The sequence below is a fragment of the Homo sapiens genome, chromosome 10 (genome assembly GCF_000001405.40).
Source record: "Homo sapiens chromosome 10, GRCh38.p14 Primary Assembly".
Taxonomy (NCBI): Eukaryota; Metazoa; Chordata; class Mammalia; order Primates; family Hominidae; genus Homo; species Homo sapiens.
In genome coordinates this window covers 116,114,339-116,130,841 of record NC_000010.11, presented here as the reverse complement: position 1 = coordinate 116,130,841, position 16,503 = coordinate 116,114,339, and the positions used below count along the sequence as shown (strand labels likewise).

The 16,503-nt window shown below is 45.0% G+C and overlaps 1 protein-coding gene across 12 annotated transcripts in view; it reads left to right on the top strand.

Annotated features, from left to right (window-relative positions):
* GFRA1 (GDNF family receptor alpha 1) overlaps nucleotides 1–16,503 on the top strand; it is a 217,781-nt gene that overhangs the window by 143,864 nt on the left and 57,414 nt on the right. For all 12 annotated transcript variants that reach the window (NM_001382557.2, NM_001382556.2, NM_001145453.4 and 9 more), the window contains one exon: nucleotides 5,285–5,621. In NM_001382557.2, coding sequence (NP_001369486.1) covers nucleotides 5,285–5,621 — 337 coding nt within the window. The remainder of the gene's footprint in view (nucleotides 1–5,284; nucleotides 5,622–16,503) is intronic.

Genomic DNA, 16,503 nt, shown 5'->3' with positions numbered 1-16,503 from the left:
TATGTTTCTTCTAAAAGCTTTATGATTTTAGCTTTTATGTTTAAGTCTGTGATCCATATTACATTAGTTTTTGTGTATGGTATGAAGTAGGGATTGAGGTTTTTTGTTTGTTTGTATTTGGGTTTTTCTTTTTTAAAAATTATTATCCAATTATTCTAGTACCATATGTTGAAAAGACTCTCTTCCCCCATTGGATTTCTTCAGTGTTGCTTTCAAAAAAATCAAGTGACTGTAGATGTGTGGGATATTTATGAGTTCTCTCTTCTTTTCCATTGTTCAATTTGTCTATGCCTATACTGTACCACACTATCTTGATAACTTAAGCTTTATAGTAAACCTTGAGAAAGGTTAGTGTGAATCCTTCAACTTTGTTTTCCTTGTTCCAGTTGCTTTAGTTATTCTGTGTCCTTTGCGTTTCCATATAAGCTTTAGAATCTGCTTGACAATTTCAAAACATTTTATGATTTGGAGATAATTGTCTATAAGCTTATATATGAGTTTAAAAAATTGGCCTAGTATATACCTTCTTTGTTGTAATAATATTAGTTGTCTTTTTAAAGTTGTTAAAACTATATAAGCTATTAAGTTTTAATAATATTGAGCCTTAATAATCATAAAGTATTGAGTATTTTGATCCATGAACATGGTATATATTTCCATTTATCAGGTCTTCAATTTTTATTAGCAGTGTTTTTATTTTTCAGTGTAGAGGTCTTGCATGTCTTTTGTTATATTCCTTTTAAGTGCTTTTTTTTTTTATTCATTGATCGTGCTGTAAATAAAATTATTTTTCAAAATTTCATTTTCTAATTTTTTTGCAGCTAACATATGAAAGTGATGGCTATGTTAATTAGCTTGATTTCGTCATTCCATAACATTAAACATATATCAAGGCATCACATTTTACTTCATAATATATATAATTATTATTTGCTAATTACAAATAAAACTCTTAAAAATGAAGCTTGTAGACTCAAAAAAATCCTAAATACTCTGACTTGATCACTACACATTTTATGCATTAATGAAAAATCACATATGCCTTATAAATGTGTACAAACACTATGTATCAATAAAAATAGTATGTATTTTTCAAAGTACAATTACTTTTTGTATATTAACTTTGTACCCTGTGACTTTGCTAAACTCACTTATTATTTCTAGTAGTTGTTTTGTAGATTCTTTAGAGATGTATAGGACATCCAATACAACATTGACTATAAGCAGTAAAAGGGGAATCCTTTGTTCTTGATCTTAGTATTTGACCATGAAATATGACTTTAGTTATAGGTTTTTCATAGCTGCTCTGTATCAGATTGAGGAGATTCTTTTCTATTCTTAATTTGCTGAACTTTTTTCTATCATGGATGAGTATTGAAATTTATTGAATGCTTTTTCTTTATCTAATGAAATATATGGTTTTCCTACTGTATTCTGTTAGTGCAGTGAATTACATATATTTTTAAATATTAAACTAACCTTGCATTCTTGAGATAAACCCAAGTTGGTCACGATGCATTAGCCTTTTAAGATATTGCTAAATACAGTTTACTAAAGTTTGGGGAATATTGTTGCATCTGTATTCGTAAGCAATATCAGTCTATTATTTTCTTCTTTTGTCTTTGTTCAGTTCTGGTATTTGGGTAATGCTGACCTCAAATGTCAAGTTCGGAAAGGTTATAAAAATATTTTGTGTGAATGAGAATCTGAAATAAAAAGGAAGTCAGATGTTCACCTGTGAGCTATGAATTAATAGTTTTTTCCCCTTTGAATATTCCAGGTTGCGGATTCTAGAATTTGTCACAGGCTCTGAAATAATGTAAGGAGATGGTGCTCTGGCAAGAGTTATATATAGATGAAAATAGAATCAGTAGAAAGTGAGGCTAAGTCACACCTACTGCTATATGAAGTAAACTTTGAGCAATTGGTTTAGACATAAAATGATTCACCCTGTTCCAACTTTGTACAAAGCCTTTTTAAAAAAAATATTGCTTTTCTAATAACATTAAGAGGAAAACCTTAACAGCATATGTAGTTTTAACAACTTTAAAAAGGTATTATTATAACAAAGAAGGTATAACCTAGGCCAATTTTTTTTTTTTTTTTTTTTTTTTTTGAGACAGAGTCTCACTCAGTCCCCCAGGCTGGAGTGCAGTGGCGCAGTCTTGGCTCACTGCAAGCTCTGCCTCCCAGGTTCACGCCATTCTCCTGCCTCAGCCTCCCGAGTAGCTGGGACTACAGGCGCCCGCCACCAAGCCTGGCTAATGTTTTTGTATTTTTAGTAGAGACGGGGTTTCACTGTGTTAGTCAGGGTGGTCTCGATCTCCTGACCTTGTGATCGGTCCACCTCGGCCTCTCAGAGTGCTGGGATTACAGGCATGAGCCGCCGCACCTGGCACACTAGGCCAATTTTTTTTTAAGCCTGTGTATAAGCTTGTGGACTCCTTACAGAGAAAAATAAATTTCCTAGATGTTACGTGTTGACTTTCGTTATTTTTATTATGATGTTATTTGAAACTTATAAACATAAAACTGTAAGCTCTTATTCTTGGCTTTTACACAACTATGAAAACAACACACATAAATACAAACAGAACTTTGAAAACAATGAAATGCAGGCTAATAACATTAATTGAGTGTAAGAGATAATATTATTTTGCTGAAACTAAATTGGTGCTTACAGTCTGAATGTAGTGCTCGGCTTCTCCATGGGTCCTTTTGAGTTTGGCAGGCCTGTATTACTGAGTGCCATGTATTGACTCGATTCTTCAGGCATTTTTCTCCATTTGAACTGTTTGTTCTTATCTCACTGACCACTTCCTTGAAGTATTAATCTAGCTCTGTGTCTCTGTTCTTTCCCTTTTAGCCAGAGATTATAAAGTGCCATTCAACATCAATACAAATGTTAAGTGTAGGTAGTGAAATTGTGTACCAGTACCCAGCCTTAAAAGTCTGATCCAGAATATGGTCATATTAATTTGTTTTAGATTATCATCAAAAATGCATAACTTAGAAATCTAGAGAACTGTTGACTTTCAAGAATATAAATCACTGCCCTGGGCTCAATAGCAAAATGTTAGAAGTCTCAAAAGAGGAGAAGGCTAGAAGTGTCACCAAGGCCCAGAGGCCCTGGTGGCCCTTTCAGGGCACATGGCGACTATTTCACTCCTGAGTCCTGAGAAGCCTGAGTGTGGAAATAGAGGAGCTAGAGAGGAGCAGGCATAGAAAGAGCGAGATGGAGAAACAGTACCAGGTGTGCTTGTTAAAGCCGGGATGGATGTGCAGCTGCCAACTTCCTGTACTCCACACCCAAGAAGGGCTCCTGTCTTGCTTATTGCCTTCTACAGCAAATTTCTTGGACTCTGATGTTACAGGAAGACACATGAACCTAGAGCACAATAAAATATGACTCATGGCGCCAGGGAATAATGGTGTGATTTCAGATATTTACATATGGGTTTTCTGAAAGCAAGACGCATCTTCAGTAGAACAGGGAGAATTGTTCTTTTCCTAAAATGTTGGACTTGCTTTGTGTGCCCTTTGTCTATTTATGTACAATATTTTTAATCGTAGCAAGAACATTTTGCATGCAATCTACCCTCTTAACAAAGTTTTAAGTGTACAATAGAATATTGATAACAATCGGCACAGTGTTATAGAGCAGATCTCTAGAACTTATTCATCTTGCATGACTCAAACTTTATTCCCTTTGAAGAGCAACTCCCCATTTTTTTTTTTTTCATTTTCTTCTCCAGCCCCTGGCAACCATCATTCCACTCTCTGCTTCTTTTGAGTTTGACTATTTTAGATTCCTCCTATACGTGGAATCAGGCAGTATTTGTCCTCCTGTGACTGGTTTATTTCACGTAGCATAATGTCCTCGAGGTTTATCCATGTTGTTACGCATTGTAGGATTTCCTTCTTTTTCTAAGGCTGAATAATATACCGTGTGCCCTTTAGACGTGCAGCAAATGCACTGCCCTATCTTTCAGTCCTACCTAACCGAACTGTGCCTTCTCTCTTGTCACTTCTTTAGCCTTTTGTCATTTCCTAAATGCCTTCCTGGTCCCTATCAACTGGGGGCACATAAGCAGAATGAAAGGAGGTCATAGAATCCATGAAGGGGCTAAGGCCTGAGGAGGAACTTGCCGGGGTGTCTCATCCCACAGCTGTGCAGTGCTTGTCCAACACCTCCCTGCCCGCTCCAGAGAATCACTACTACACCTCATCATCACTACTCCATGGACCACCTTATATGTTGTTTCTGGAAGGTTTTTTCCATCACTTCCCTCTCCCTGCAGAAACATTCCTCTATTGGGGACAGGGCTGAATTCCTGTTGTCCATTCATCCTTTAACCTTGCTGTTGGGCTTGGCCTTGGCCTGCCTGCCCAGGCACCGAGTGGGCCCTGCCTCCACCATGCTCTCGCTGCAGACAGCAGAGGGCAGGCGGTGTGGACAGCACAGAGCAGGCAGTGTGGACAGCACTGGCTTCCCTGGTGGTATGAGTGCACAGGGCTTGGGCAGAAGGCAGCATATGCTCTGTGAGCTTCCTGGAGCCCATTGAAATTCTATTCAAAATACAAGCTGAATTTTTCTAATCTAGAACCTCAGTACTCATAGAGCCCACGTGTTGTCTGTGGTGAGTTAAGTGGTAATTGAGAGGTTTGCAGATTTTTATGTGATTTATCCTGGTTTTCTTCCAACGCCCTGCGAGCTAAAATTTAAATACAGCTTCGTTGTGGTGGCTTCTTCCTGTTTAGAGAATCTGGCATAATATTTTGTCTTCTGGGCTCAAATAACCATGTAATTACTGTGTAATCATATAGTAATTAGCATGTACTATATGCATTTATTACATAATTACATTCTTGGAGGATTGTATGGCAATTATACTTGCATTCAGCATATCATGAACAAGTATATAATTTGTTGTTTTTTTCTTTTATCCTAATTTCAGTTTACTAACCAGGGGCTGGAAGCTTATTCTCCTGTTGCCTCATTTGCATGTAGTGGGGCAGGTGCCCGAGTTTTGGCCTCACCTAGCGCCTCCTAATTCTACATCTGTGGGAATATTAGGGGCTTTTGTGCTGCCGTAGACTCCTGGTATTTGTACTCCTAGCACTTTCTCTTGTCATGAAGTCATTAAGTTATTAGCTTCAAAACTCATTAAGTTCTAGAGCCGCTGGCAATGCCAGATAAATGGCAGGATCTCAATTAAAACAGAGTAGGTGAGAACACAGAGCCGAGCACTGTGACCATGCCTGTCTTTCTCTGCATTTGCAGTGGAGCACATTCCCAAAGGGAACAACTGCCTGGATGCAGCGAAGGCCTGCAACCTCGACGACATTTGCAAGAAGTACAGGTCGGCGTACATCACCCCGTGCACCACCAGCGTGTCCAACGATGTCTGCAACCGCCGCAAGTGCCACAAGGCCCTCCGGCAGTTCTTTGACAAGGTCCCGGCCAAGCACAGCTACGGAATGCTCTTCTGCTCCTGCCGGGACATCGCCTGCACAGAGCGGAGGCGACAGACCATCGTGCCTGTGTGCTCCTATGAAGAGAGGGAGAAGCCCAACTGTTTGAATTTGCAGGACTCCTGCAAGACGAATTACATCTGCAGGTAAGTGGGCACTGGCAGCTGGTGATTAATGAGGTGACAGGGAAAGTCTTGGCGGCTGCTTCGGCTGCCAAGCTCCCTTTTCTGTGCTTCTACCAAGGTAGAGGAGGGAGGGGAGCCCAGTCCATTTGAATGGATTGGCAAAAATCTGACCTCTGTGTCTGCCACGGGGTTCTTCAGAAGCTATTCAGGCCTCCCTGCTGGGGAAAGTTCCCATCTTTAACCTGAGAATGCTTTGAGGGATGCTGGAATGAGGTAAAATACCACTGCCTTTCCTGGATACCTCTCAGGTGAGAGGGTCACCTGGGGTGAGGTGACCTTAAGGCACACACCTGCTGCTCAAGTCCTGAGGGCTGCCAGTGATTAAGTCGAGAGGAGCTGGCTGGAGCTTTGGAGGCTTTTGACCTTCAGGGGCAGAAACTTGGAAGAGACCAGTGAGAGGGACTGAGCAGTGTCCAGCCTTGGGGAGAACTTTGAATGCCTGGGTCTGTTCTGGACTGTTCTGTCGCTGTGAAGAGGTCACCTTCCCACTTAGCTCATCTCCCAGATCTCAGCCTCCACCAGAAACCTGCTGAGCCTGGATGATGTTGTTGAAAGCATTCACTTCTTTTTGCTTTTTGGCCATTTCTGAATTTACTTTGATATCTGAAGGAGTCCATGAATACATTTTCTGTGTTTAAAAAAGAAAAAACTGGCCGGGTGTGGTGGCTCACGCCTGAAATCTCAGCATTTTGGGAGGCTGAGGCGGGTGGATCACCTGAGGTCAGGAGTTTGAGACCAGCCTGGCCAACATGGCAAAACCCCATCTCTAGTAAAAATACAAAAAATTAGCCGGGCATGGTGGCAGGCGCCTGTAATCCCAGCTACTTAGGAGGCTGAGACAGGAGAATCGCTTGAACCTGGGAGGTGGAGGTTGCAGTGAGGCGAGATGGCACCACTGCACTCCAGCCTGGGCGACAAGAGTGAAAATCTGTCTTAAAAAAAAAAAGAAGAAGAAGAAGAAGAAAAGAAAAACCACAGGCCTGGCGCGGTGGCTCACACCTGTAATCCCAACGCTTTGGGAGGCTGAGGCAGGCAGATCGCTTGAGGTCGGGAGTTCGAGACCTGCCTGGCCAACATGGTGAAACCCTGCCTCTACTAAAAATACAAACAATAGCCAGGCGTGGTAGTGCATGCCTTTGGTCCCAGCTACTCAGGAGGCTGAGGCAGGAGAATTGCTTGAACCTGGGAAGTGAAGGTTGCAGTGAGCAGAGATCATGCCACTGACCTACAGCCTGGGTGAGTGAGACCCTGTCTCAAAACAAACAAACCAACAAACATAAACCACAAACAGCAATATAGACGTAGGTAGAGTGAAAAGATAAAGTTACCCTTCACTCTGCTCCCATTCACCCCCAAGCTTCAGGCAGTCACTGTTAACCATTTCATGTGTGTCCTTCCCAGAACTTAGTGTTGAATTCAATTGCTGATCGAAGCAGGTAGATTTGGGGTATCATATTGAAAAACAGCTGTACTTTGTCCCCAGGTAGAAGCCCTCAATATATGCTAAGCCAGTGGACAAGCAGATGGGTTTATGACCATGTACTTGTTTCCTATTGGTTCCCCGTTTCTAAAAAGCCAAGAGCAGAAAAAATAATGTCTGTGATGTTGAAGATTCTGAGTTTCTGTTCAACTTAAGTTTTATTCTGGTAGAATGGGAACCCACTCTTTCCTTAAACCAGCTGTAATAATGACCAAAGAAAACTGTAAGTCCTTGTCATCTGTATAACCCTCTCATGCTGAAGACTTTTTGGGAGTAATGTTTCTCCTCCTTTCTAAAAAAAGTTGGAAGCAAGTGACCTGCTGTATGAGGAAGGACTCGGATGACCAAGCGTCTTATGAACTGAGTTTGCATCTTGGGAAGAAACAGGTGTTCCAGCAATGCAATACAAGGACCCTTCCTCACTTCCAAGCCCCTGTTTCATTGAGGCCCTCTTAGCTGTGGGCTAGGAGCAGGGATGGGTGTGCCAGAAGGGTCCTGAGAAAGAGGCAGAGCCTCAGCAAGCCAGGAACCTGGGGAAGCCAATCAATTAGGGTGTCGAAGCACCCTCTGCTGAAGATGAATAAAATGAATGCAGCCAAGAAGCTGTAGGGAGCTTTGCTCGGGGTCCAGCGATGGGATGGAGCAGAGATCCTGAAGATCTCTGGATGTGAAACTCCAATTCCTGGCCCCCTGTAGTCTCTAAGCAGAAGGGATCCCCATTCTGGGAGTAGGACTGGATTTCTAGGGTCTTACTTGGCTTAATGCCAGACAGCTCCTCCCTGTCTCTATAATAAGATGTGATCTTGTCCACTGATGGGTCCAAGCCAGGAGACCTGGGCTTTTGTTCCTGCCTCAAGATGGGAAGCTGTATGGGGTAGAAATGGAGCTGTGGATGAGTCTTCCATCTATTGAACGATGGCTGGGAGGTGGGAGAGGTGGTGGTGATGGAGCCTTTCCTTCCTGTTCTCCCAGGTTTATCTTACACAAGATGGCCAGAGAAGGTCTGAGACCTCCCCCACACATATTGAGAAAGCCCATATTGAGCAGATAATTTGCATTCTCTGGCTTGTTCTTCTAAAAAGAGAGTATCCTTTGAGGGTTGGTGAGAATTCATTAGATCAAATTGCTTTCCTGCTAAGCTGTAGTGAGAATAGCTGGGAGTTGAGAACTTAGAGGGCTCTGGGGGAGGCGATGGGAGGAACCTGCAGATAACAGGATGGTTTAGGTGATGTCTAGGGCCTCAGGCTGAGGAAGGAACAAGTTTCAGGAACTGTTTGTGACATCCCTGATAGCAGGGAGTGGACTCAGCTGACGGCACAGAAATGTACAACAGGAAGCAGACAGCCCTTGTCTATGTATTGACTTTGCCCGATCTTCCTGGAGTGGACAGCAGCCACCATGCAGTGGGGTGAAGGATCCCTGGGCTGGATGGTGGGACTAGTGGCGTGTCTGTGCTGCTGCCACGTTTCTGGCTCTGGGAGAAGCTCAGAGGCTGTTTAGGAATCCAGATCTAGACTGTCCTGGGGCCCTACCCAGTGAAATTTGTCTCAGTGTGATTGATGGGTTTTATACACTGTCTTGAGCCTTTCCTGGGAAGGTGAATCCGTGACTTCCCTGGTGTTACCCATTGTCAAGTGATTTAGCCCATAATTTCTTTCCAGAGCCTGGATTTATTACTCATGATTACCCCCTCCCTCTCAGAGGTGCTAAATATAATTTGAGCTGCTAGGTTGGCTAGCAGTGTTTGCTTCCATCAGATTTTATTACTCTTGTCTTTAATTTTATGCCTTTTATCCCATCCCTTCTCAATCCATCTCTGTGAGGCCGTTGTTGTTCTACCCAGAGTAGCAGCTGGTACTAGCTGGAGCTGGAGGTTCTTTGGGTCTCACATTACAGTTGCTATAACCCTAACCTCACCACTGATGTGATGACTTGAGGTCTCATTTGAATAGCCCCAAAGGGAAGGGATGGCAAGAGGGAAACTTGCTTCCTAAAAACCATATTCTTCGAAAGCTCACACTTTCAAATGCTCCATTTCCATCTTAACATCAGCAACCATCAAAGAGCTGTTCAAGCTCATTAAAAGCTCCCTGAATTTAATATTTTCCAACTCAGGGCCTACAGGTTTCCTTCCCCAGGGTCCGACAGTGCCTCTGCACAGAACCTGTCTCTCTTCCGCCTCATGCCTTCAAACAGATGGGAAGCAACATTAGCTTTTCCGTTTGACTTTGTTTTCCTTTTTCCTTTTCCATTTTAGGGAAGCTGACAGATTCCTTTCCCCTTGAGGTAGTTGGGGAGAGTCAGAGCCTGACTGTTTGGGCCTCCAAGCTTGTCTACAGAAAAGCAAATGCAGAGGTATTATTAGAAGGGTGTGATGGAATTTCAAAGCCTCACAGTCTTCCCCCGAAGCAGTGCCTCCCCTGCCAGGTTTCCTCTGGTTGCTTTTCTTAGTGCCTGGAAGGATGTCAGGACTGGTTTGGGCCGAATGGAAGCATAACCTTTTGTGCCTGATGCAAATCTGTGTAATTTAAACTTATACTTTCCCTCCTGTCTGAGCGCTGGCTCAGGTGCCACAAATATGTTCCTCTCTCTTTACTGTTTTAATTAACAGCTCAGGTACCTCAGCTATTCTTCATTACCAGGCGGTCCAGCACCTTCCCCTTGGGCATGCTCCCTCATGTTTCCATCGAAGAACCACAGAGGTAGACTCCAAAACGCCTTCTGCTTCCAGTGCCAAGCAAAGAGGGACCCCCAAGCCTGCGAAGCCGCCCGCTTGCCGGTAGCTTTAGCTGCTGCCACATGGGGTCGCTGTTGAGAAAAAACTCAGGGTGTGCTTGGTGGTTTAGTGGCCTTGCCCTTCTGGGGCATTCAGCACGTGCAGCAGAGCTGCTGCATCCTTGGGTGGCTGAGTGACAACACCTAGTTTATACTCACCTATGCAGCCATTGTTTCCAAAGCATGACATTTTGCTCTGGGGAGCTACATCCTAAGGGGTTCCAATCAGGGCCAGCCCTCCACCTTGAACACCAGTAGTCCACGCTCTACGTTTTCTGGCAGTATGTTACTAGGTAGAATTGAATGCTTCTCTTTTTTCTTTTATTTAATTATTATTTTTTAGAGACAGAGTCTCATTCTGTTACCTAGGCTGGAGTGCAGTGTTGCAGTTGAGGCTCTCTGTAGCCTCTAACTCCTGGGCTCTAGCGATCCCCTCATCTCAGCCTCCCATGTAGCTGGGACTACAGGTGCATGCTACCATGCCTGGCTAATTTCTTTTAATTAATTAATTAATTATTTTTAGAGACAGGGTCTTGCTATGTTGCCCAGGCCGCTCTTGGGCTCCTGGCCTGGAGTGATCCTCCTGCCTCAGCCTCCCAAGAGTTGGAAATTGAATGTTACATTTGCATTCCTCTTTGCCAACAGTGCTGGGTCAAGGGTATCTCACTCCTTTTAGAAAGATTCTGATAATGCTGAACCTCAAAAGGAAATTGGTCAGCGGCTCTATGTCCTCAGTCCCCAAGGTTCTCTTGACCCTGCTGGAGATATGATACACTTGTTCTTCCTGGTGTCCAACTCTCTGTCCCCGTAGTCTCCAAGAGTGGTGGCTTTGATGAAATCACCATATATGGTTCTACCATTCCCCAGGGATCAAGGACCCTATCATTGTATCTTGGAGGCCTGGGGGATTTTTAGCAGAACCAAGAAGGCCTCCCTTGGCACAGCTCCAGGAGAACAGCACATGCAATTTCCAAAATTCTGCCCTTGTCAGCCCCACATTTGCCACACTGGGGGTGACCCCGTGACACTTAGAGGAAATGTAATGTTGTTAGTTGGTCGATCAGGCAACTGGGGAACGTGTCATAAAACCATGCAGCGAATTTCTGCTCCCATAATTTATTTGGTCTGACAGTGTTAGTGCACCTTTAAAAGGTGAGAAATGTGTTTCGTTTGCCTGGAATGAGACCCCCTTCACACAATAAACTGTGGATCTTAGAGATCAAGGACATCCTCTACTGTTTGGGCTTAAATTCCTGAGTCAAAAACTGGATCCCACATCACTATATCCGGGCTTGCCTTGACATGCAGCAAGCGCAGGAGAAAATGGCTCAGAGGATAATTAATGCCTAAAACTAGATGGGTAGATTAATTTGGCACTTAATTTTATTTTACGCTGATTCATTCACAAATGGAAATCAGCAATTAGACAATGCAAACTTTTGAACCATGGAAAGAAAGTTTCTAGAATATGAGAAAATACAAGTAAAACATTTTCCAGTTCATTTGAGCAGTTTTCATTTCAAATGATTACATGGGTGTCTTTAGCAATGCATTCGGAGTGCTGAATGGCTCGTTTTTAATATGCCCCACCTGCACGAGCTGCCTGCTACCCTGTCTGCTCTGGGGGCCGCTGGACTCCTATGTGCCTACAGCAGATTCATCAAGACCCTGAGAGAAGGGCAAGCAGGTTCTCTGACATCTGCTGCTGCCCACCCTGGTGTTCTTTGACTCCATCCCATGGGGAGGGGCACCTTCCTGCTGGCTCTTCCAGAGTGCCCCTTCTGCCTGCGCCACCTCCTGATGTGCATGTGTGGCCCTTCAGCTCCACTCAGCAGCAGCAGAGCTCTATCAGCTCGGGCTCTCAGAGGTAACCTGAGCCCTGGACCAGGCAGGAGCCAGCTATGACCTGCCCAGCTATGACCTGCCTTCTCTCTCATTCATTATCTCTCTGTTGGCAGAGGTGGGTGTGAAGCCATTTGTCTGCCCCTGCTGGAGCCTGTCCCTGTCTAGTTTTACTCCCTGTTCTCCCTCTCTCCAGCTGGTCCCCTCCCTGCATCTGCCCAAGCTCAGGGTCTCTGCCTCGTTTTCCTCAGCACGTCTTTCTTCACCTGCCCAAGTCCTACCAATCACTTTTTCCACTCTTGGCTCAGAGAGAGAAAAAAGCAGGGACTCCTTGTCTTTGCATTTGCATATTGTGTTGATCATTGTGGACAGATGGACTCATGGCACCAGACCATCTTTTATCGTCTTCGAGTGTGAATGCGGATGGAAAAGGAATGGAATGGAATCCACCTAGGAGGCCCAAACAGAGAGCCTGTATTTCTTTGGGGAAGCAGTGTCACAGCAGAGGGTCTCAGGAGCCATGTTCAGATCAGGCCTTGGTGGACAAGGAGCAGGGAAGTGAAGCAGAAGAAGGGGAGCTTAGTTTGGAGGGGACACAGTGGTTGAGGTGGGAAGAAGGGGCCTTGGGGACTGTCATGGCGTCAGAGGAAGAAAACTCGGTGCCATAGAAAGGCAAGATATTGGGGCCTCCTGTGTCAGAGGGGTGCTGGATTTTATCCATCAAAGGTTTAGGAGAGCATCAGAGAGCTCCCAGGTGGGAGCAACATGGAGGCAGAGTTGGAGTGGTAGAGATAGTGGCTGCGATCAAGTTAGGAAGCTCTTGCAGTTGACCCATGAGAAGCGATGAGCGCAGAGTCCCACAAGAACAGGACAGGAATTTGGGAGACCCACTGGACACCATGGAGGGTACTGACTAAATCTTTACTGAATGAATACATTTAAAACATGACTAAATCTCAGAGAAGGGGCTGGGATATAGGGGTGGGGTTACAATCATTCACATAGAGGTTGTTGTTAAAGATGCTTGGTAAGATTTGTTCCTCTAGAGAAAGTGGGTGAGAAGAGAAATGGACCAAAGGCTGAATCTCGGGAGCACCAGGTGTGTGGTGGAGGTGTCTGAAGAGGACTTAGAAGTTGGAGAGTTGGAGAACCCAGCAAAGGGCCTTGAAAAGCCAAAGGGGAACAGAGTCTTAGGAAGAAAAGGGAGATGGTCATTGGTGTCAATCACTCAGAGAACAGAGGAGAACTCAGAGGGACACAATTTAGTACATAGGAAGTATATCCGTCCATCTGTTTCTCCGCCCATTTCTCTCTCCTTCCATTTATCCATTCAGTTTTCCATTCATCCATCTGTCCATCATCCATCTATTCATACCTTTGTTCCTCTCTCCATCAATCTATCTCTACTTCCATCCCCCATCCCACCATCTATCCATCCATTAATCCATCCACTCATCCATTTATCTATCCATCCACCCATCCACCCATCCATCCATCCATCCATCCATCCATCCATCCATCCATCCACACACCCACCCACCCACCCACCCATCCATCCATCTGGCCTGCACTTACTGTGCCAGGAATAACAACCTGATATTTCACCTACAGTGCAGAGAGGAAGGCAAGCACACACACAGTCATGACAGCATGGTGTGGCAGTCTCTGGCAGGAAGGGACAAAGTGCTATGGGAGGTGAGAACAGCCAGCTTAGAGTGGCTGTTAGCAAGGCTTCCTGGAGAAGCTGCCATCTGAGCTGGACTGGCCAATGACTGGCATGGAAGAGAGTCACAAGACAAAGGCCCAGGACTGTGGGTTTGAGGAAGGCATAGGAAGTAAAAAAAGAAAACAAAACAACAACAACGCATTCACTGGGTGCTGATGATGATCACTGCTGAGGTACACCCACACAAACGTGATCTCTCATCAGACCAGCCACCCTGCAAGGGGATGATCAGTGGAGTGGCCAGCCCAAGGGTCACCCTGCTTCCACACAGAGGACGTAGGAATCAGCTCAGTCTTCCTAACTCTGAAACCTGGTTTCTGTCACTATTTCCAGATGACTGTCTTTCATGATAGGAATACAATGTTCTTACACCGTTCAGCCTTTACTACCTTTAGTTCCAGACAGCCAGAATGATAATTCTGGCCAGCCTCTGAATCCAGACACTCTTTATGGCTCAGCAACTAAGACAGCATCAGTGTTAAAGACAGTTTTTAAAGAGAGGTAGACCATCATGTCCATAAGAGCCTCTTAGCATCGTTTAAAAAATAAAACAAAAGCTACTCAGGTAATACAAGCTCATTAAGTTCTTTATCAAATTTCCTTTTGAACACTCGTTGCTTATAATAGAGTGCTTTCTCTGTGACAGCTTACTGATTTCAAAAGAGTCGTTTCTACAAATAGGAAAAAAATACCCTTCCAGGCCACGCTGGCTTTACTATTAATATTATTAGCTCAATTATTCAGTCCAGGCATATTTATTGGGCACAATCTGCTGGACAGTGAGGGTCCTGCATGTGTGGGTGGTGCACCCCCTCCCAGGCATGCACACTCACCTGATTTGGATTCCTTAACTCCCTGCTGAACCATCACTGGCAGTCAGTGTCCTCAACCCTCACCTACCTGAAGGCAGTGGACATCAGGGATCTGGCTGTGTCTCACAGAGCAGATGAATTCTTTGCTGTCGCAGAGCAACAACCAGCTCTAAATAATCCATGGTGTCACCAGTTTGGGGTCATCCAGGTGTTTCACCTTCCTGCCTTCTCCCTGGCTTGTGGCCATTATGTTAATCATCAGGAAGCCCTCCATTTTGTGGATTGCATCTTGAGAGTACATTGCTGCACCTGTAATCCCAACTACTCCAGAGGCTGAGGTAGGAGAATCGCTTGAACCTGGGAGGTGGAGGCTGCAGTGAGTGGAGATCGCACCATTGCCCTCCAGCCTGGGCAACAAGCGTGAAACTCAATCTCAAAAAAGAAAAAAGAGAGAGAGAGAGTACAGTGCTGGTGAAAGGTGTGATGGAAGCAAGACCTCTGGATCTTTACCAGACGTGAAGAAGAGGAGGTGGGCGGGGGTACTCAAAGGGGGTCTATGGGTCCCTGGACTTCAGACCACCTTGTTCAACTGCAGGTGGCTGAGGGAGACCTCAGCTGATCTCCTCTACTGCTCTGTGCAGCTTGTCTCTCTTCAAAGAGAACCCTTCTGCTCTGTCCACCAGCCACCTCCTGCTAGCACTCGTGAAGTGCACAGGCATACTACACCAGCTGCAAGCCCCTCAAGCCCAGGCCTGAACTAACCCAACTGGATAAATTTCATGATCATTTTTTTTTCTAATTCCCAGGGAAGGGGGTGTTTCCGTTTCCTACAGCTGTTTTCAAAGATGTTTCATCCACGGAGCAACAAATGGGGTGCAAAAGAATGGGGAGAAGGAAGACGTCAATAGCCTGTGACCCAGAGCAGTCTCATCTTCGCGTGGGGAAATCTGTCCCCTTAGTTACAGGCTGGCTGTATTTAAGGAGAGGAGCATGTCCTGTGTTTAATTAGCATTCAGTGACTTAAGGAGGGCTCCCTGGAGGGCAGGGCAGGGCTGGGCTGGGCTGGGAAGGGAAGTGCGACATCAGAGAACCTCCTCCCATGCATGGGCTCATCTCACCCCAGGAACCTGACTCTGGGAACCTGCCAGGACCCTCTTCCATGCTGCCAGGAGGGTCCTCTGGCAGTCACCTCTTCCCTCGGCCTCCCCACCTCCCAGGCCAGTGTGGGCCTGGGTCTCACAGCCAGGCTTAGAGTCCTGCTCCACCCAGGGAGACTCCACACTCCCCCACACCCATCCCAGGCATTACCCCAAGTGAGGATCCTGCAGTCACATTGGCATTTACATTTCTACAGGGCATTTCCAACTCAGTGAATGGGAAATTGCTCGTCATTTCCAAAGGCAATTAATTATGCAGGAAATTTTGCATCCAAGAAAAACAAGAATTTAAAAGAACCATCAATGTGAAAAAGTACCATACCATGCTGGAGTCTTGGGATTGTTTTCCCTTCCCCAGTAGTTGTCAGTGTAAGCGTTTGCGAGTTAGGCAGACCTGGGCTTGCATTATGGTTTTGTTAGTTCTTATGACACCAGCCACTGGAGGCCTCAGTTTCCCATCCATAAATGGAGATAATGACTCCATCTTCACAGGGATGCAGTGAGGACTAAATGAGATATTTTTGTGCAAGTACCTCAGCATGTGCCTGCCATCTAACCCAGAAAATTCTCAATAAATATGTCCTTCTTTCTCTTTCACTTTTCCAACCAGTTTTTATCAGGGAGGACAAAGCTTAAGATTTTAAATGTGATACCCCCCAGAACAGAGAGAGATCTTTGAAGTAGAACTTGTGAGCTGGTGTGGTGGTATGTGCCTGTAGTCTCAGCTGCTCAGGAGGCTGAGAGGTGGGAGGATCACTTGTGTCCAGGAGTTCAAGTCCAGCCTGGACTACACAGCAAGACCCTCTCTCTAAAAAAATTAAAAATAAAAATTAAAGTAGGATTTGTGAGGGGGCAGATTCCCATTACTCTACACTTCTCTGCACCCACAGCACTAAACGTCATGTGGAAATGCCACATGGCTAAGCTTGATAGTCATCCTCTTTCAGCCTTTGTACCATTAGGGAAAACGGAGGGGCGGAGGCGGAGGCAGAGTCTAGAGGTGTTTGGAGCATGTGTCATCTCAAGAACATTTTTGTCAAGAATATACAAT